At 44.7% G+C, this 12474-nt stretch overlaps 1 protein-coding gene and 1 long non-coding RNA gene across 19 annotated transcripts in view; one reads left to right on the forward strand and one right to left on the reverse strand.

Annotated features, from left to right (window-relative positions):
* Nucleotides 1-12293, forward strand: part of CHRNA7 (cholinergic receptor nicotinic alpha 7 subunit) — a 142536-nt gene extending 130243 nt beyond the window's left edge. For 6 of the 8 annotated variants that reach the window (NM_001190455.3, NM_000746.6, XM_011521176.4 and 3 more), the window contains 2 exons: nucleotides 2501-2610; nucleotides 7215-12293. In NM_001190455.3, the coding sequence (NP_001177384.1) occupies nucleotides 2501-2610; nucleotides 7215-7733 (629 nt within the window). In that variant the 3' untranslated portion in view covers nucleotides 7734-12293. The remainder of the gene's footprint in view (nucleotides 1-2500; nucleotides 2611-7214) is intronic. The other 2 variants (NR_046324.1, XM_011521178.4) reach the window with 2 other exon arrangements.
* Nucleotides 1-12474, reverse strand: part of LOC102724078 (uncharacterized) — a 187103-nt gene that overhangs the window by 4761 nt on the left and 169868 nt on the right. For 4 of the 11 annotated variants that reach the window (XR_007064568.1, XR_007064563.1, XR_007064564.1 and 1 more), the window contains 4 exons: nucleotides 6032-6135; nucleotides 4368-4521; nucleotides 4035-4186; nucleotides 999-1100 (listed from right to left, as the gene is read on the reverse strand). This is a non-coding gene — a long non-coding RNA (uncharacterized LOC102724078). Of the gene's footprint in view, nucleotides 1-983; nucleotides 1101-4034; nucleotides 4187-4367; nucleotides 6136-12474 lie in introns of all 11 variants that reach the window. The other 7 variants (XR_007064561.1, XR_007064559.1, XR_007064562.1 and 4 more) reach the window with 4 other exon arrangements.

Raw genomic sequence — 12474 nt, forward strand, 5'->3', positions numbered from 1 at the left:
CAGAAATTTATTTTCTCACAGTTGCACTGCTGAAAGTCCAAGACCAAGGGGCCATTAGGGATGGTTTAACCTGAGACCTCTCCCCCTGGCTTGCAGACAACCACTTTCACAATGCTTTGTCCTCCCCTGGTAGTTCCTCTGTGCACCTGCATCCCTGGTGTCTCTCTGTGTGTCCAAATTTTCTCTTCTTCATTAAAAGAACACCAGTCAGATTGGATTAGGGCTTACCCTGATGACCTAATTGTACTTAATTACCTCCTTAAAGACCCTATCTCCAAGTACAGTCACATTCTAGGGTACTAGGGGTTGGGGCTTCAACATATGAATTCTAGGGGGAAGCATAATTCAGCTCATAAGGGTCACGGTTTGCTCCAGTCTCCTTCCTTTTCTCAGGGGCCCTGATGCTAACTTTAGGTCTCAAACTTCCAGCTCTGGCAGAGCTCCTCCCAGGTACCTCTTGGTCTTTGTAGGAAGGCAGTGAGTTCCTTCCTGGCGTGAGGGCCTGTGAGGGCTAGCTGAATGCTTAGCGCCCTGTACCCTGATGCTTTCCGCTTAGAGTTCAGCCCCTTGAGTGGACAGCCACACCAAAGGTTTAATAATTAGAGCTGCCCACTAAAGAATGCCCCCTCCTTTCTCCTAGACATCTTGGCCTGTGTAATTGCTCATCATTGCACAAATCCTGCAAGGAAGAAGTTCCTATTTTAATGGAGGCTACCGTAACAAATTGCTGTAGTCTGGGGGCCTAAGCAACAGACATTTATTTCTCAGAGTTCTGCAAGGCTGCACGTCCTCGATAAGGGTGGCAGCAGGGCTCTGGTGAGGGGCCACTCCCTGGTTTACAGCTGGCCCTCTTCTCGCTGTGGCCTCACGTGGCAAAAAGAGAGTGAATTAGCTCTTTAGCCTCTTTTTATGAAGGACTCTAATCCCATTCATGAGGGCTGCACCCTCAGGACCTGTTGAAGGCCCCTGAGAAAATCACTCACCATTTCTCTACTTACACAACACTTCTGACACCAAAGCGGGGCGTTTCTCCCACATCGACCAATTCTTGGAAACCAGCTGGGCGTCCTACAGTGAGTTCACTTCAGTCCTGACACCACCTGGAGTTAGCACAGCACTCACAGATTAAGGCTCACAAGACCATTTCTACTTGAGATGCCAGTTAGAAGTTCCGGCTTCCCATGCTTCTGACCAAGTGTCTATAAATCGGGGAGTTCCCAAAAGCACATCTTTGAGTTCAGCCATTTACTAGAGTGACTCACTCTAGTAAACTCAGGGAAACATTTTACTGATATTTATTCATTAATTATAAAGCACAGATGAATAGTCAGATGAAAGAAATGCATAGGGCAAGGTATTTGGGAAGGGGCATGGAACTGCCATGCCCTCTCTGCCCTCCAAACACCTCCCCGTGTTCAGCACTGGGAAGGTCTCCACAGAACTCCATCCTTTTGGGTTTTTATGGAGGCTTCACTACATAGGCATGATTGATTACATCATTGGCCACTGGCGATCCACTCAACCGTCAGTACCTCTTTCCTCCCCAGGGGTCAAGGGTTGGGAGAGGGGACAGAGCTTGAAGGTTCCAACTCTCTAATTACTTGGCTGGTTCCCCTGGCAACCAAACCCCATCCTGAGGGTATCCAGGAACCTCAGCCATAAATCATTTCATTAGCATATAAAAAGACACTGATGACTTCAGAGATTCAAAGGTTTTAGGAGCTGTGTGCCAGGAAATGGGAGGAAGACTAAATACATATTTCTTATTATAAATCACAATCTCATACCTCCCAAAGCCCCACCTCCAGATACCATCCCAGTTAGGACTAGGGTTTTAACCCATGAACTTCGTGGGGACACAAACGTCATCCTTTGTACCACCCCCATTGGAGAGCTGAGGCCCGAAGAGGCTGAGCATCCACTCCAAACTCACAGCCAGTAGCTAGTGGACCAGGATGGAAGCACTCAGATGCTCCATGCTGCCCCTCACCTGGGCCCAGGTGGAAGGACACCCATGACCCATTAGAACCAAAGCTGAGACTGAAGTTCTCGTCCTGAAAAGTCCCTGCCACTGACCCCTTCCTCAGGCTGGACAGCTGGCAGCCAGGTGGTGTGCAGGTTTGCCCTCATTGTGCCCCTGGAGCACAGTAGAGGCCTGCATCATGAACACTGGATGGTTCCCATGCCCTCACATCCAGTATTTACCCACAGGAACAAGCTTATCACCATCCTGCCAGGCGATGCTAGCTCTTATTGACTGACAAGTCGGCCAGAGTGCATGGAAGTGCAATGAAGTGAGGGAAGGTCACTCCGTGGGCGGGAAGTCAGACCACACTGGCTGGTTTTGCCCACCCAGAATGTGGGCTGCAGGCCTGGACACATGGGCATCACTGCACCCTGAGGCCCTGACGGTCAGAGAACCTGATCAGGGTGTGCCTGTCCTGTGACGTGCAGTGCCACAGGATCCCCGGGTCTCACCCTGCATCTGTTCTCTCCACAGCCCAGTACTTCGCCAGCACCATGATCATCGTGGGCCTCTCGGTGGTGGTGACAGTGATCGTGCTGCAGTACCACCACCACGACCCCGACGGGGGCAAGATGCCCAAGTGGGTACGTTCCTCCCACCCCCGATGGAGTCGGAGCCCCCCTGTAAAGGAGGCTCCTCCTAGGGTTTATTTTTAAAATCACACAAAAAATGGGCATTCCTAAAGAAATAGCTTTGGGTTTTTTGTTTGTTTTTTTGAGACGGAGTCTCACTATGTCACCCAGGCTGGAGTGCAGTGGTGTAATCTTGGCTCACTGCAACCTCCACCTCCTGGATTCAAGCAATTCTCCTGCCTCAGCCTCCTAAGTAGCTGGGACTACAGGTGCCTGCCACCACACCTGGCCAATTTTTTTTTGTATTTTTAGTAGAGATGGGGTTTCACTATGTTGGCCAGGCTGATGTCGAACTCCTGACCTCGTGATCTGCCCACCTCAGCCTCCCAAAGTGCTGGGATTACAGGTGTGAGCCATTGTTCCCAGCCAGAAATAGCTTTGTTTCTGTATTTCGTCACCTATTGACGTGTCTTTGTGTAGTGTGCAGTCATGGTGCACGTGTTCCCGGATGCCCCGTGGCACTGCTGTCTAATCTAACTGCAGAGTAGAGTAAGGCTCTCAAACTGGCTGCCCTGTGTGTTCTATCAATCAGCACGGTGTTTTGAGAAGCTAGTTTGTTTTTTGATGCATGCCGTGAAGCACTGTGCTGCAGTTGGAAGCAACAGATGAGACAGATGCGTAGCAACATGGTTGAGGCTTCACAACAGAATGAGGAGCAAAGAGTAAGAAACGGAATGAGCTGTGTACAAATATGTACGTTCAGTACATCTAGGGATATCATCCAACCAGAAGTCTATGAAACAAAGACTAATTGTCACCAGTGCAGAAGGGGGAAGGGATAAAAGGAAACGGATGAAAACAGAAAGGATGGCATCCCACAGCCTGTCAGCTTAGCCTGGGCCATACCACTCCTGCCCCAGCTGCTGGCACCGTGCCCGGCCACATCTGCGGATGCTCACCCACCCAGGGATCCTCTCCTGCACGGTGTCCAGAGCTCTGCATCCACCCTTGCCTGGCAGTCAGGAAACCTTGATGAGGGCCTAGGGAGGGCCTGAGCTTCTTCCCCTCTTCATGTGAGCTTTGTAAAGCTTCCCCGTCCTCCTGTCTAGAGAGCCTGGCCTAAGGATTTGGGGAGCTAAAAAGGCCCTCACATTCCAAAAGTTGTCTGTCTTTGGAGAGCACTTGTGTCCCAGTTCAGAAGGGAATCTAGGAATCACCAACAAGCTAAATGCAGCTGTAGGGGGTGAGATGCTGTCAGGCACCCTCCAGGAATAGGGGATTGCTGGGCCTCCTGAAACAGTCATTGTGGAGTTGTTACCTGAATGCTCACTTAGCAAAGACTGCTTCTTAAGAAATGCTTTACAAAATTACTGTTTCTTCTCAGAGTTTCACCCACATGGCCCATTCCCCTTATACACTATTTAGTAAAGACTTACCTGTGAGCCCACCACAGTGGTGTGTGGCTGTAGTCCCAGCTACCTGGGAGGCTGAGGTGGGAGGATCATGTGAGCCCAGGAGCTCCAGGCTCCAGTGAGCTATGGTGGTGTCATTGCCCTCCAGCCTGGGTGACAGAGCAAAACTCCATCTCCTAAAAAAAAAAAAAAAAAAAAAAAAAAAAAAAGACTGACTTGTAGCTCATTACACAAGCAGTAATGTGAGCTCAGCCTACATGGTGATGTCTCACACACAGACCACATCACTACATTCCCTGAGGCTTGTTTTGTGAAGGCCCCCCCTTAAAACACTGGGGTACATTTGCACACATTCACCTGTATTTTTGTCTGATTTCCTTATAACGCTGACCCACACTTAAGAAAATGCAAGGCCAGAGGTGAGAGGCCTGAGAGCTGGAGGCTTGTTGGTTTGCTGCTCTTTCTGTCTGTCCATCCATCAGTTTGAAGCAGGTAATACATTTACCTGTTTCTAAAGTCAAAATAAAATTAAAATTATACATAAGGAAATCCTGCTCCCATTCCTTCCCCTTTACCCTGCATCTACCGTCAATACTGATAACCGTTTTAATGAATTCCTTATTTTTCCTTCTAGTATTTATTTATGCAAATACAAAAATCTAAACATTCTCATTTCTTGTAAGTATTTTGACTGATGAGAAGATAAGAGAATTAAGACATTGAGACACAAAACCATTTTTAACGACCTGGAGCACTCTACTGCTCTAGAACAATCTTAATTAAGAACATATGCTAATTATTCACCTCTCAGCATAAAAGCTTATTAAAACCAATTGGCTGCAAATGAAAGATGAAGCTTATGCATTTCTCTCGCTTTATATAGCACACTGCATTTTTCTTTCATTCCATGTGTATGTGAAACACAAACAGCCTCCGAGGGACTTTTATTATGATCTGTTGCTATGAAGAAGATACTGCCGGGTGCAGTGGCATTATGTGACATTTGCACAGCCAGAAACAAAACTGTAGCCTAACAGAAGAGGTCAAGAGCACAGTTTGAGGAGTGCCAAGAGGATAATTTTATCTTTTAAATGCTTTGGCTTTGAAAGTTAATGATTCAGGCCATGGAATTCAAAATGGACTTGGCAGAGTGTATCGTATGAGCTTGAGATGTGCACTGGGGGACGTGTAGACCCTGCCATGGAGGGAGAAGTGCCTGGTGCTGCTCGCTCCCTGTGTGCACTGCTGCCACTGGATGCAGGCACACTCACTGCCCTGCAGCCTCCCAGGAGAGCTGGCTCAGGCTTTCTGGTGCCTTCCCAGAGGGGTGGGGTTGTGCGAGTTTTGAAGAGAATCTTACAGACCCTTTGACAGATGAGACTGGGAAAGGCTAAACATGTGAAGTGACATAACCACTTACTTACTCATTGTACATCGTTGGGCCAGTTTATTAGCCTCTTTGAACCTCAGTTTGTTGGTCTGTAAAGTGAGGGGATTATACTCATTTCACCGGACCCTGAAAGGCCCAAGTGAGATGACTTGTCTCATGAGCCTTGTATGGACGGCCCAACTCACCCAAGGTTTCACCTGGGGCCATATGTCCCTGCTCCTTACTGATCATAAAAAACCCTCCAAGGTCAGCAGACCCAACCTTTCCAGGACACGCAGAGTGCCGCCTGCTTGTAAAGTACAATGGGAAACAAAGGGTTATTTTTATAGCTGCAATGAAACTGGTCTTGTGCTTCCCTGTTCTTGTCCCCAGACCTGTTTGTTGCAGTTATCTTTGATAAGATGTTATAAAAAGATGACCAAGAATGAAAGCTCTGCAGATACGAACTGCACAATTTACTATCTGTATATTTATTTCCTAAAGATAGGAAATAAACCTGTTAGGTTACTGATGGAATTTCCCCAAAATCATAAAACAAAATGTAAATGAAATCAGGATCTGGATAATTTCAGGGAAAAGGCCCACTTTTCATACACTTTACATGGATGGGCTTGCAAGAATGCTTCTTTACCTGGATTGAGGCTTCAGTTGTCTCTCTTCTTTCCATGAGAGGCAAAACCAGGATAAACTCCATGGTGATTTTTCTCCAGCTTCTTTCATGCACTCTAGGACACACTTTAGACCAGAAGTTAGCAAATTATGGCCTAGGTGGCCAAATCCAGTCCACCAAGTGTTTTTGTAAATAAGTTATTTTAGAAAACATGCCCATCCATTTGACGCCTTCAATGTGTGCTACATCAGCAGAAGTGAGTAGTTGCCTGGCCCTTTACAGAAAGTTTGCCAACTTCTGCCTTCAACTTTTCAAAGTACTCTCCCAGACATCATCTTATTCGGTCTTCATTGAAGCCTACTGAGTTAGGTTAGAGGTTCCGAAACTGCCTTGGTTCACAGCACGTTAGTATCTCAGGAAATTTTTCACAGAGCCCCTGGCCAAAAGAAATAATACCCAAGGCTCTCTTTTTAAATAGATCAAAACACTTTAATAAGTATTTATGCCTTAACAATGTAGCACCTATGGGGCACGGCACCGCCTCTCAAATCTTGGGATCAGATTGGAGACCACTAACCTAGTTTCTGTTTCACATGAAGTTCCTTGGTGTTTGCTTTTTATCAGGGTACTTTGAAAAACAGCTTTGCAAAGTGGTCACGTCATCACAAGAGATGTGGTAATCTGATGTTGGAAGCCTGAAGTGCTTCAAGCTTCAAGTTTACCTGGTGTCTCATGGATATCCTGGGATTGCATTTGAAAATGTACAACCTCCCCCAGGCACTCTTTGCGAATTTGCAGTGGCCTTCCAGGGCACCTAACAGGTAGTGTGGGAGCCAGAGTTAGATCTGAAGGTCCCCGGGTTACAGATGAGGAAGGATCAGAGAGGGAAATTGACTTTCCCTCTTTACACAGCTCAGATAGCCTTCCCCTTCCACGAAGCTGTCCTCCCTGAGATTGCAGTGTGCCTGCCCCGGAGAACAATTTAGCTTGTTCCCAGGGTGCATCAGTTTTAGTCTTGCCTCACGTTGAACTCGACTGCTTGTCATACGCAAGCACTGCTTGCCTGCTAAAATCATCTGGGAGGCAGTGGAGGCTGCTACCCCCAGGACCAATGAAGCAGGGCTTGTATTGTAGGATCTTACTGCTGTTGGGATCAGCCCGTGTCCGCCTCAGGGCTGCTCTTAACGTTCTGTTGTCTCCCCAGACCAGAGTCATCCTTCTGAACTGGTGCGCGTGGTTCCTGCGAATGAAGAGGCCCGGGGAGGACAAGGTGCGCCCGGCCTGCCAGCACAAGCAGCGGCGCTGCAGCCTGGCCAGTGTGGAGATGAGCGCCGTGGCGCCGCCGCCCGCCAGCAACGGGAACCTGCTGTACATCGGCTTCCGCGGCCTGGACGGCGTGCACTGTGTCCCGACCCCCGACTCTGGGGTAGTGTGTGGCCGCATGGCCTGCTCCCCCACGCACGATGAGCACCTCCTGCACGGCGGGCAACCCCCCGAGGGGGACCCGGACTTGGCCAAGATCCTGGAGGAGGTCCGCTACATTGCCAACCGCTTCCGCTGCCAGGACGAAAGCGAGGCGGTCTGCAGCGAGTGGAAGTTCGCCGCCTGTGTGGTGGACCGCCTGTGCCTCATGGCCTTCTCGGTCTTCACCATCATCTGCACCATCGGCATCCTGATGTCGGCTCCCAACTTCGTGGAGGCCGTGTCCAAAGACTTTGCGTAACCACGCCTGGTTCTGTACATGTGGAAAACTCACAGATGGGCAAGGCCTTTGGCTTGGCGAGATTTGGGGGTGCTAATCCAGGACAGCATTACACGCCACAACTCCAGTGTTCCCTTCTGGCTGTCAGTCGTGTTGCTTACGGTTTCTTTGTTACTTTAGGTAGTAGAATCTCAGCACTTTGTTTCATATTCTCAGATGGGCTGATAGATATCCTTGGCACATCCGTACCATCGGTCAGCAGGGCCACTGAGTAGTCATTTTGCCCATTAGCCCACTGCCTGGAAAGCCCTTCGGAGAGCTCCCCATGGCTCCTCACCACCGAGACAGTTGGTTTTGCATGTCTGCATGAAGGTCTACCTGAAAATTCAACATTTGCTTTTTGCTTGTGTACAAACCCAGATTGAAGCTAAAATAAACCAGACTCACTAAATCCTTTCCAATAATTGACTGGTGGAAGGAAAACAAAAAACAAAAACTAAAAACCTCTTAGCTTTTCTGCAATTCAACTTTTTATTTTTATTTTTATTTCTATCAAAGACGGTAGAGAGAAACAGCTTGATGCTGTTTCTACATTAAAAAAAAAAAAAAAAGACAGACTGTTGGTCTTACTAAGGATGTTTTTACCAGCCTGCCTGACTTCTGCAAACCTACCCTGTCAAGGAGATCAAAGGGACGCAGGTTTCTGTTTATTCTGAACAAGGGCCAGGCCCCGCGGAGTGTCTTTGGTGGATCCCAGATAACTCCTAGGTGCTGCTCTCAGACACTGAGGAGTTGAGCAAATCTGTTCTATTCTGCAGAACCCACAGGACAAATAAGAGTTCTACTAGAATTAACAGCCCAAAAGAATAGCTACAGCTAAGTGAAGCCACTTACGTGGGCTTTAAAAAAATAATGTGTTAGCTGATTCACATGCACTGGAGTTAATTAGTCTTAGAAATGTGTGCATCCATACAAATGCACAACATAAAGTGAACATATTCCTAGGCCCTTTCTGCCTGTGTCAGGGCCAGGAAGTAGAGGCTGGGAACTCTTCTGGTCCCCAGTATGGCAGGCGCCAGGGAGGGGATGGTGTGGCCCATCCCTTCTCTGGATACCTGGCCAGTGGCAGGCAGCAGGGAGGAGCTGGCCGACCCTCAGTGACTGACAAGCCAGCAATTCTGAGTTCTGGCCTTTGGGAGTCTGCCTGCTCCAAGCCAGTCCACCCCAGCTGCAGCCCCAAAAGCTGGCTCAAAGTCCTTGGGTGGATTCACTGGAGATGGGCAACTTAAAACAAGAGAAACTTTAATTTTTAAACCTAAGTGATGATACAGCTCTTCCCTTAGATTATCGCCCAGGCTGGAGTGCAGTGGCATGATCTCAGCTCACTGCAAGCTCCACCTCCTGGGTTCATGCCATTCTCCTGCCTCAGCCTCCCCCCGAGTAACTGGGAATACAGGCGCCCGCCACCATGCCTGGCTAATTTTTTGTATTTTTAGTAGAGATAGGGTTTCATCATGTTAGCCAGGATGGTCTCATTCTTATTCTTTAATGAGATCAGAGGGTAATTCACCAAGAAAGACCTCTCCTGTTCCATTGTGTCATCCAACAACTGCTCAGAGCTCAAAATTATAGAAGGCTTCTGAGCCCCTAGAGATTTTTAATTTGCTTCTAATCCCTGAGGTGGGAACATCATGAGGGAAGATTTGATTTTCAGAGTTAAATAAATTGTATGTGCTTTTCCAGCCATCTGGCTCACTCATTTCTGGGTAATGCACATGACTTTGTTTGCACTGGAGGAAGATGGAAGCTTGCGTGTGTGCGGTGTGTGTGTGTGTGTAAGTGTGAGGTACCTTGTGTGTGACAAGAGACCTCACTTACGAGAAAGTTGGTGGATCAGGACATTCCAGCCTCAGGCGGCTTGGAGCAGGATCATTCCTCAGCAGGCATTCCTTCCACATGCTATGGATGAACCATGCACAAGATTTTCGGTTTTTTTTTTTTTTTCTGTTACAGTGTCTTTAGAAACAAGTAGAAGTGTTTTGATATATAAAAGGAATGCTTCATTTCTTATCATTATCCCAAAATTGATCCCTCCCACATTTTTGCTTTAAAAAGAAACCTTTTTGGTTTTGTATTTTATACAGGAACACAAAATGCAAACAAGTTGTGCATATTTTGGACTCTCAAATAACTTCTCTGTCCTTTAATAAAGTAATAATAAGGAATAGATGTGCACATAGTTAGAAAAGTATGAGTGGTTAAAAACAACAGTCTCCCATACTGCCTGTTTTCTCTCTCAGAGGGGACCACTAATGAGCTTCTAAGGGCATTTCTAGAAAGGAAGAAAAGAAGATAAGAGGCCAAAGAAGGAGGGACGGGGGTTATGGAGAGAGACCTTCCCTTTCCAGCACTAACGCTCTGTGAAGGGCGCTGCACCTTGCATTCTTCATGTGGTGTTTTGTCTTAGAGGTCGTCCCATAATAACATATAAAGATCTACCTCATTCCTCCTAGTAGCTGCTTAGCATTCCATTATCTCAGCGGACTATCATTTATTTGAATAGCCTTTTATTGGTGAACATATGGATACTTCCAGTTTTTATTTTTATATACAAATCTATAATTGGCATACTTGTACATACATCTTGACATAGTTTTGTGACTAAAACGGTATAAATTCCAACTTAGAAATGGAATTGCTGGGTTTAAGGCTACATGTATTTAAAATTTTGATAGCTATTGCCAGATTATCTTCTAGAAACTGATCGAAGGATGTAACTCCATCAAGAGTACAATAAAAGGCCCAATTTCTCAGCTTTCTATAATAGCACTGGGTATTTTCAAACTTAATGTTTTTCCCAATATAATTGGTGAAACATGATATTTACGAATATTATTCTGATTTTGGTTTATTTTGTGTATAAAATGGGACATCTTTTAAAATTTTTTTGTAGTTTTAATTTTGATACATTTATATATTTTACCCAGTTCCTAATTGGGTTATTTGGCTTTTTCTTAATTTGCTCATGCACTTTGGGACATTTTTGTCTTATGTCTTTAAAATATTTTTATCATTTGTCTTTCGATGTTATTTATTGATTTCCTTATTTATTGGCATAGAGTTTAAATTTTTATGTTGTCAATTTGTGAGTATTTTTCTTTGTCGATCGTGGGATTTGTTTCCAGTTTTTAAAAGCCTTCCTCATTCTGAGATTATAAATAGACTTACTCGCATTTTCTTCTGAAACTTTATGGTTTTATTGGTTTACCTTCACATCTTCAGACTCCCTGGAATTCATTTGTTGCAGGACATGAGGGAAAAATCCATACTTTTTCCTCGAAATGGTGGTCAGCAGTATCAATAAATATGTAATAATGCATTTCTAAAATACAGTCATAGTGTTTTCCCCAGTTGTTCAAAATGCAGCCTTATTTGTAAACTAAATTTCTTTAAGTGTTTGGTTCTGTTTCTGTTCTATTTATCTCTATGAATGCCTTTCATTTCTAAAGCATTATTCATACTAATATCAGTATTTTCAAGTCAACACTCCCATCAACTCTGAATCTCTCTCTCATATGAATCTTTTTTCAATTAGAGTCACAATGAATTTACAGATTGAGTCTTCCTATTCAAAAGCATGAAATCTTGTGTTTAAGTCTAATTTTATGTAACTTAGTAGTGTTTTATGATTTTGTTCACTAAGGTGCTTTGAATTTATAGTTTATTTCTAGATGTTTTATCATTTGGCTATCATTTTCAATAGAATGATTTATTCCACTTTATTTTCTATTTTATCCCATTGTATAAGAAAGTAGTTGGTTTTTATGTATGAATGTTATAATCAACCACAAATTGTGATTCCTACTTGTTTCTAAGGTATACTTTTGACTTCTCCTTTCCAATGTGTCTCTTATTTCTTTCTTGTATCTAGTTGATTTGAGATCAGTGTTGAGTCACAGTGATTCAGGTGGCATGCTTATCTTGTTCGTGACATCAGTGGGACGTTTTAATGTCTCAGCGTTTAACTTGTATGAAGACATGTATTTTCCTTGCCATAATAAAAAAGTATCTGTGTGTTCTCAAACTATTAAGACTCTCTGGGGAAAATGTAGATGTTAGATTTTTGTCAAAGCCTTCTCAGTGTCCAGAGGGATTATCAGAAGGTCTTTTCCTTTGCTCTAGTAGTATGTTTAATTATATTAATAGAATACTTAAGACCAAATCATTAGTGTATTCCTGAGATGTTCTTTACTTATTAGTATCATGACTTTGGTTATCAATATTTATAATTAAGATTCATCATTCTACATCTTGCTTTTATGTGTTTTTTGTCCAGATTTAACTTTATGCTGACTTAAAGGAAGAAATATTATAAAACAAAAACCTCTATATTCTACAATCATCTATTGGTTTTGGATTATTTTCTGCTTAAGTGTAGAAGAACTAGCTGGGGCTGTCTGGGCCTGCCGTGGTATATTTCTGGATTTTGCTCATCAGGCAAGTTAGGTCCTCGAGCCCTTCTAGAGTCCATTTTAATGACACTTTTAAAAATAAAATTAATTCCATCCACTTTTCAACATAGTTGCGTAGTTTTGTAATATATGCACTTCAGGTGTTTTCTTTCCTCTGTATTTGTGGCTTTTTCTCCTTTTTCCGTTTGTAATTGTGTGCATTTCTCCTTTCTCCCGTGCCTATTGATTTAGCTTGCCATGAGTTTTACCGGTTTATATTTTTAAGACATCGGACCCTTAGACTTTGCAGT

This window comes from Homo sapiens, chromosome 15, assembly GCF_000001405.40.
Source record: "Homo sapiens chromosome 15, GRCh38.p14 Primary Assembly".
Taxonomy (NCBI): Eukaryota; Metazoa; Chordata; class Mammalia; order Primates; family Hominidae; genus Homo; species Homo sapiens.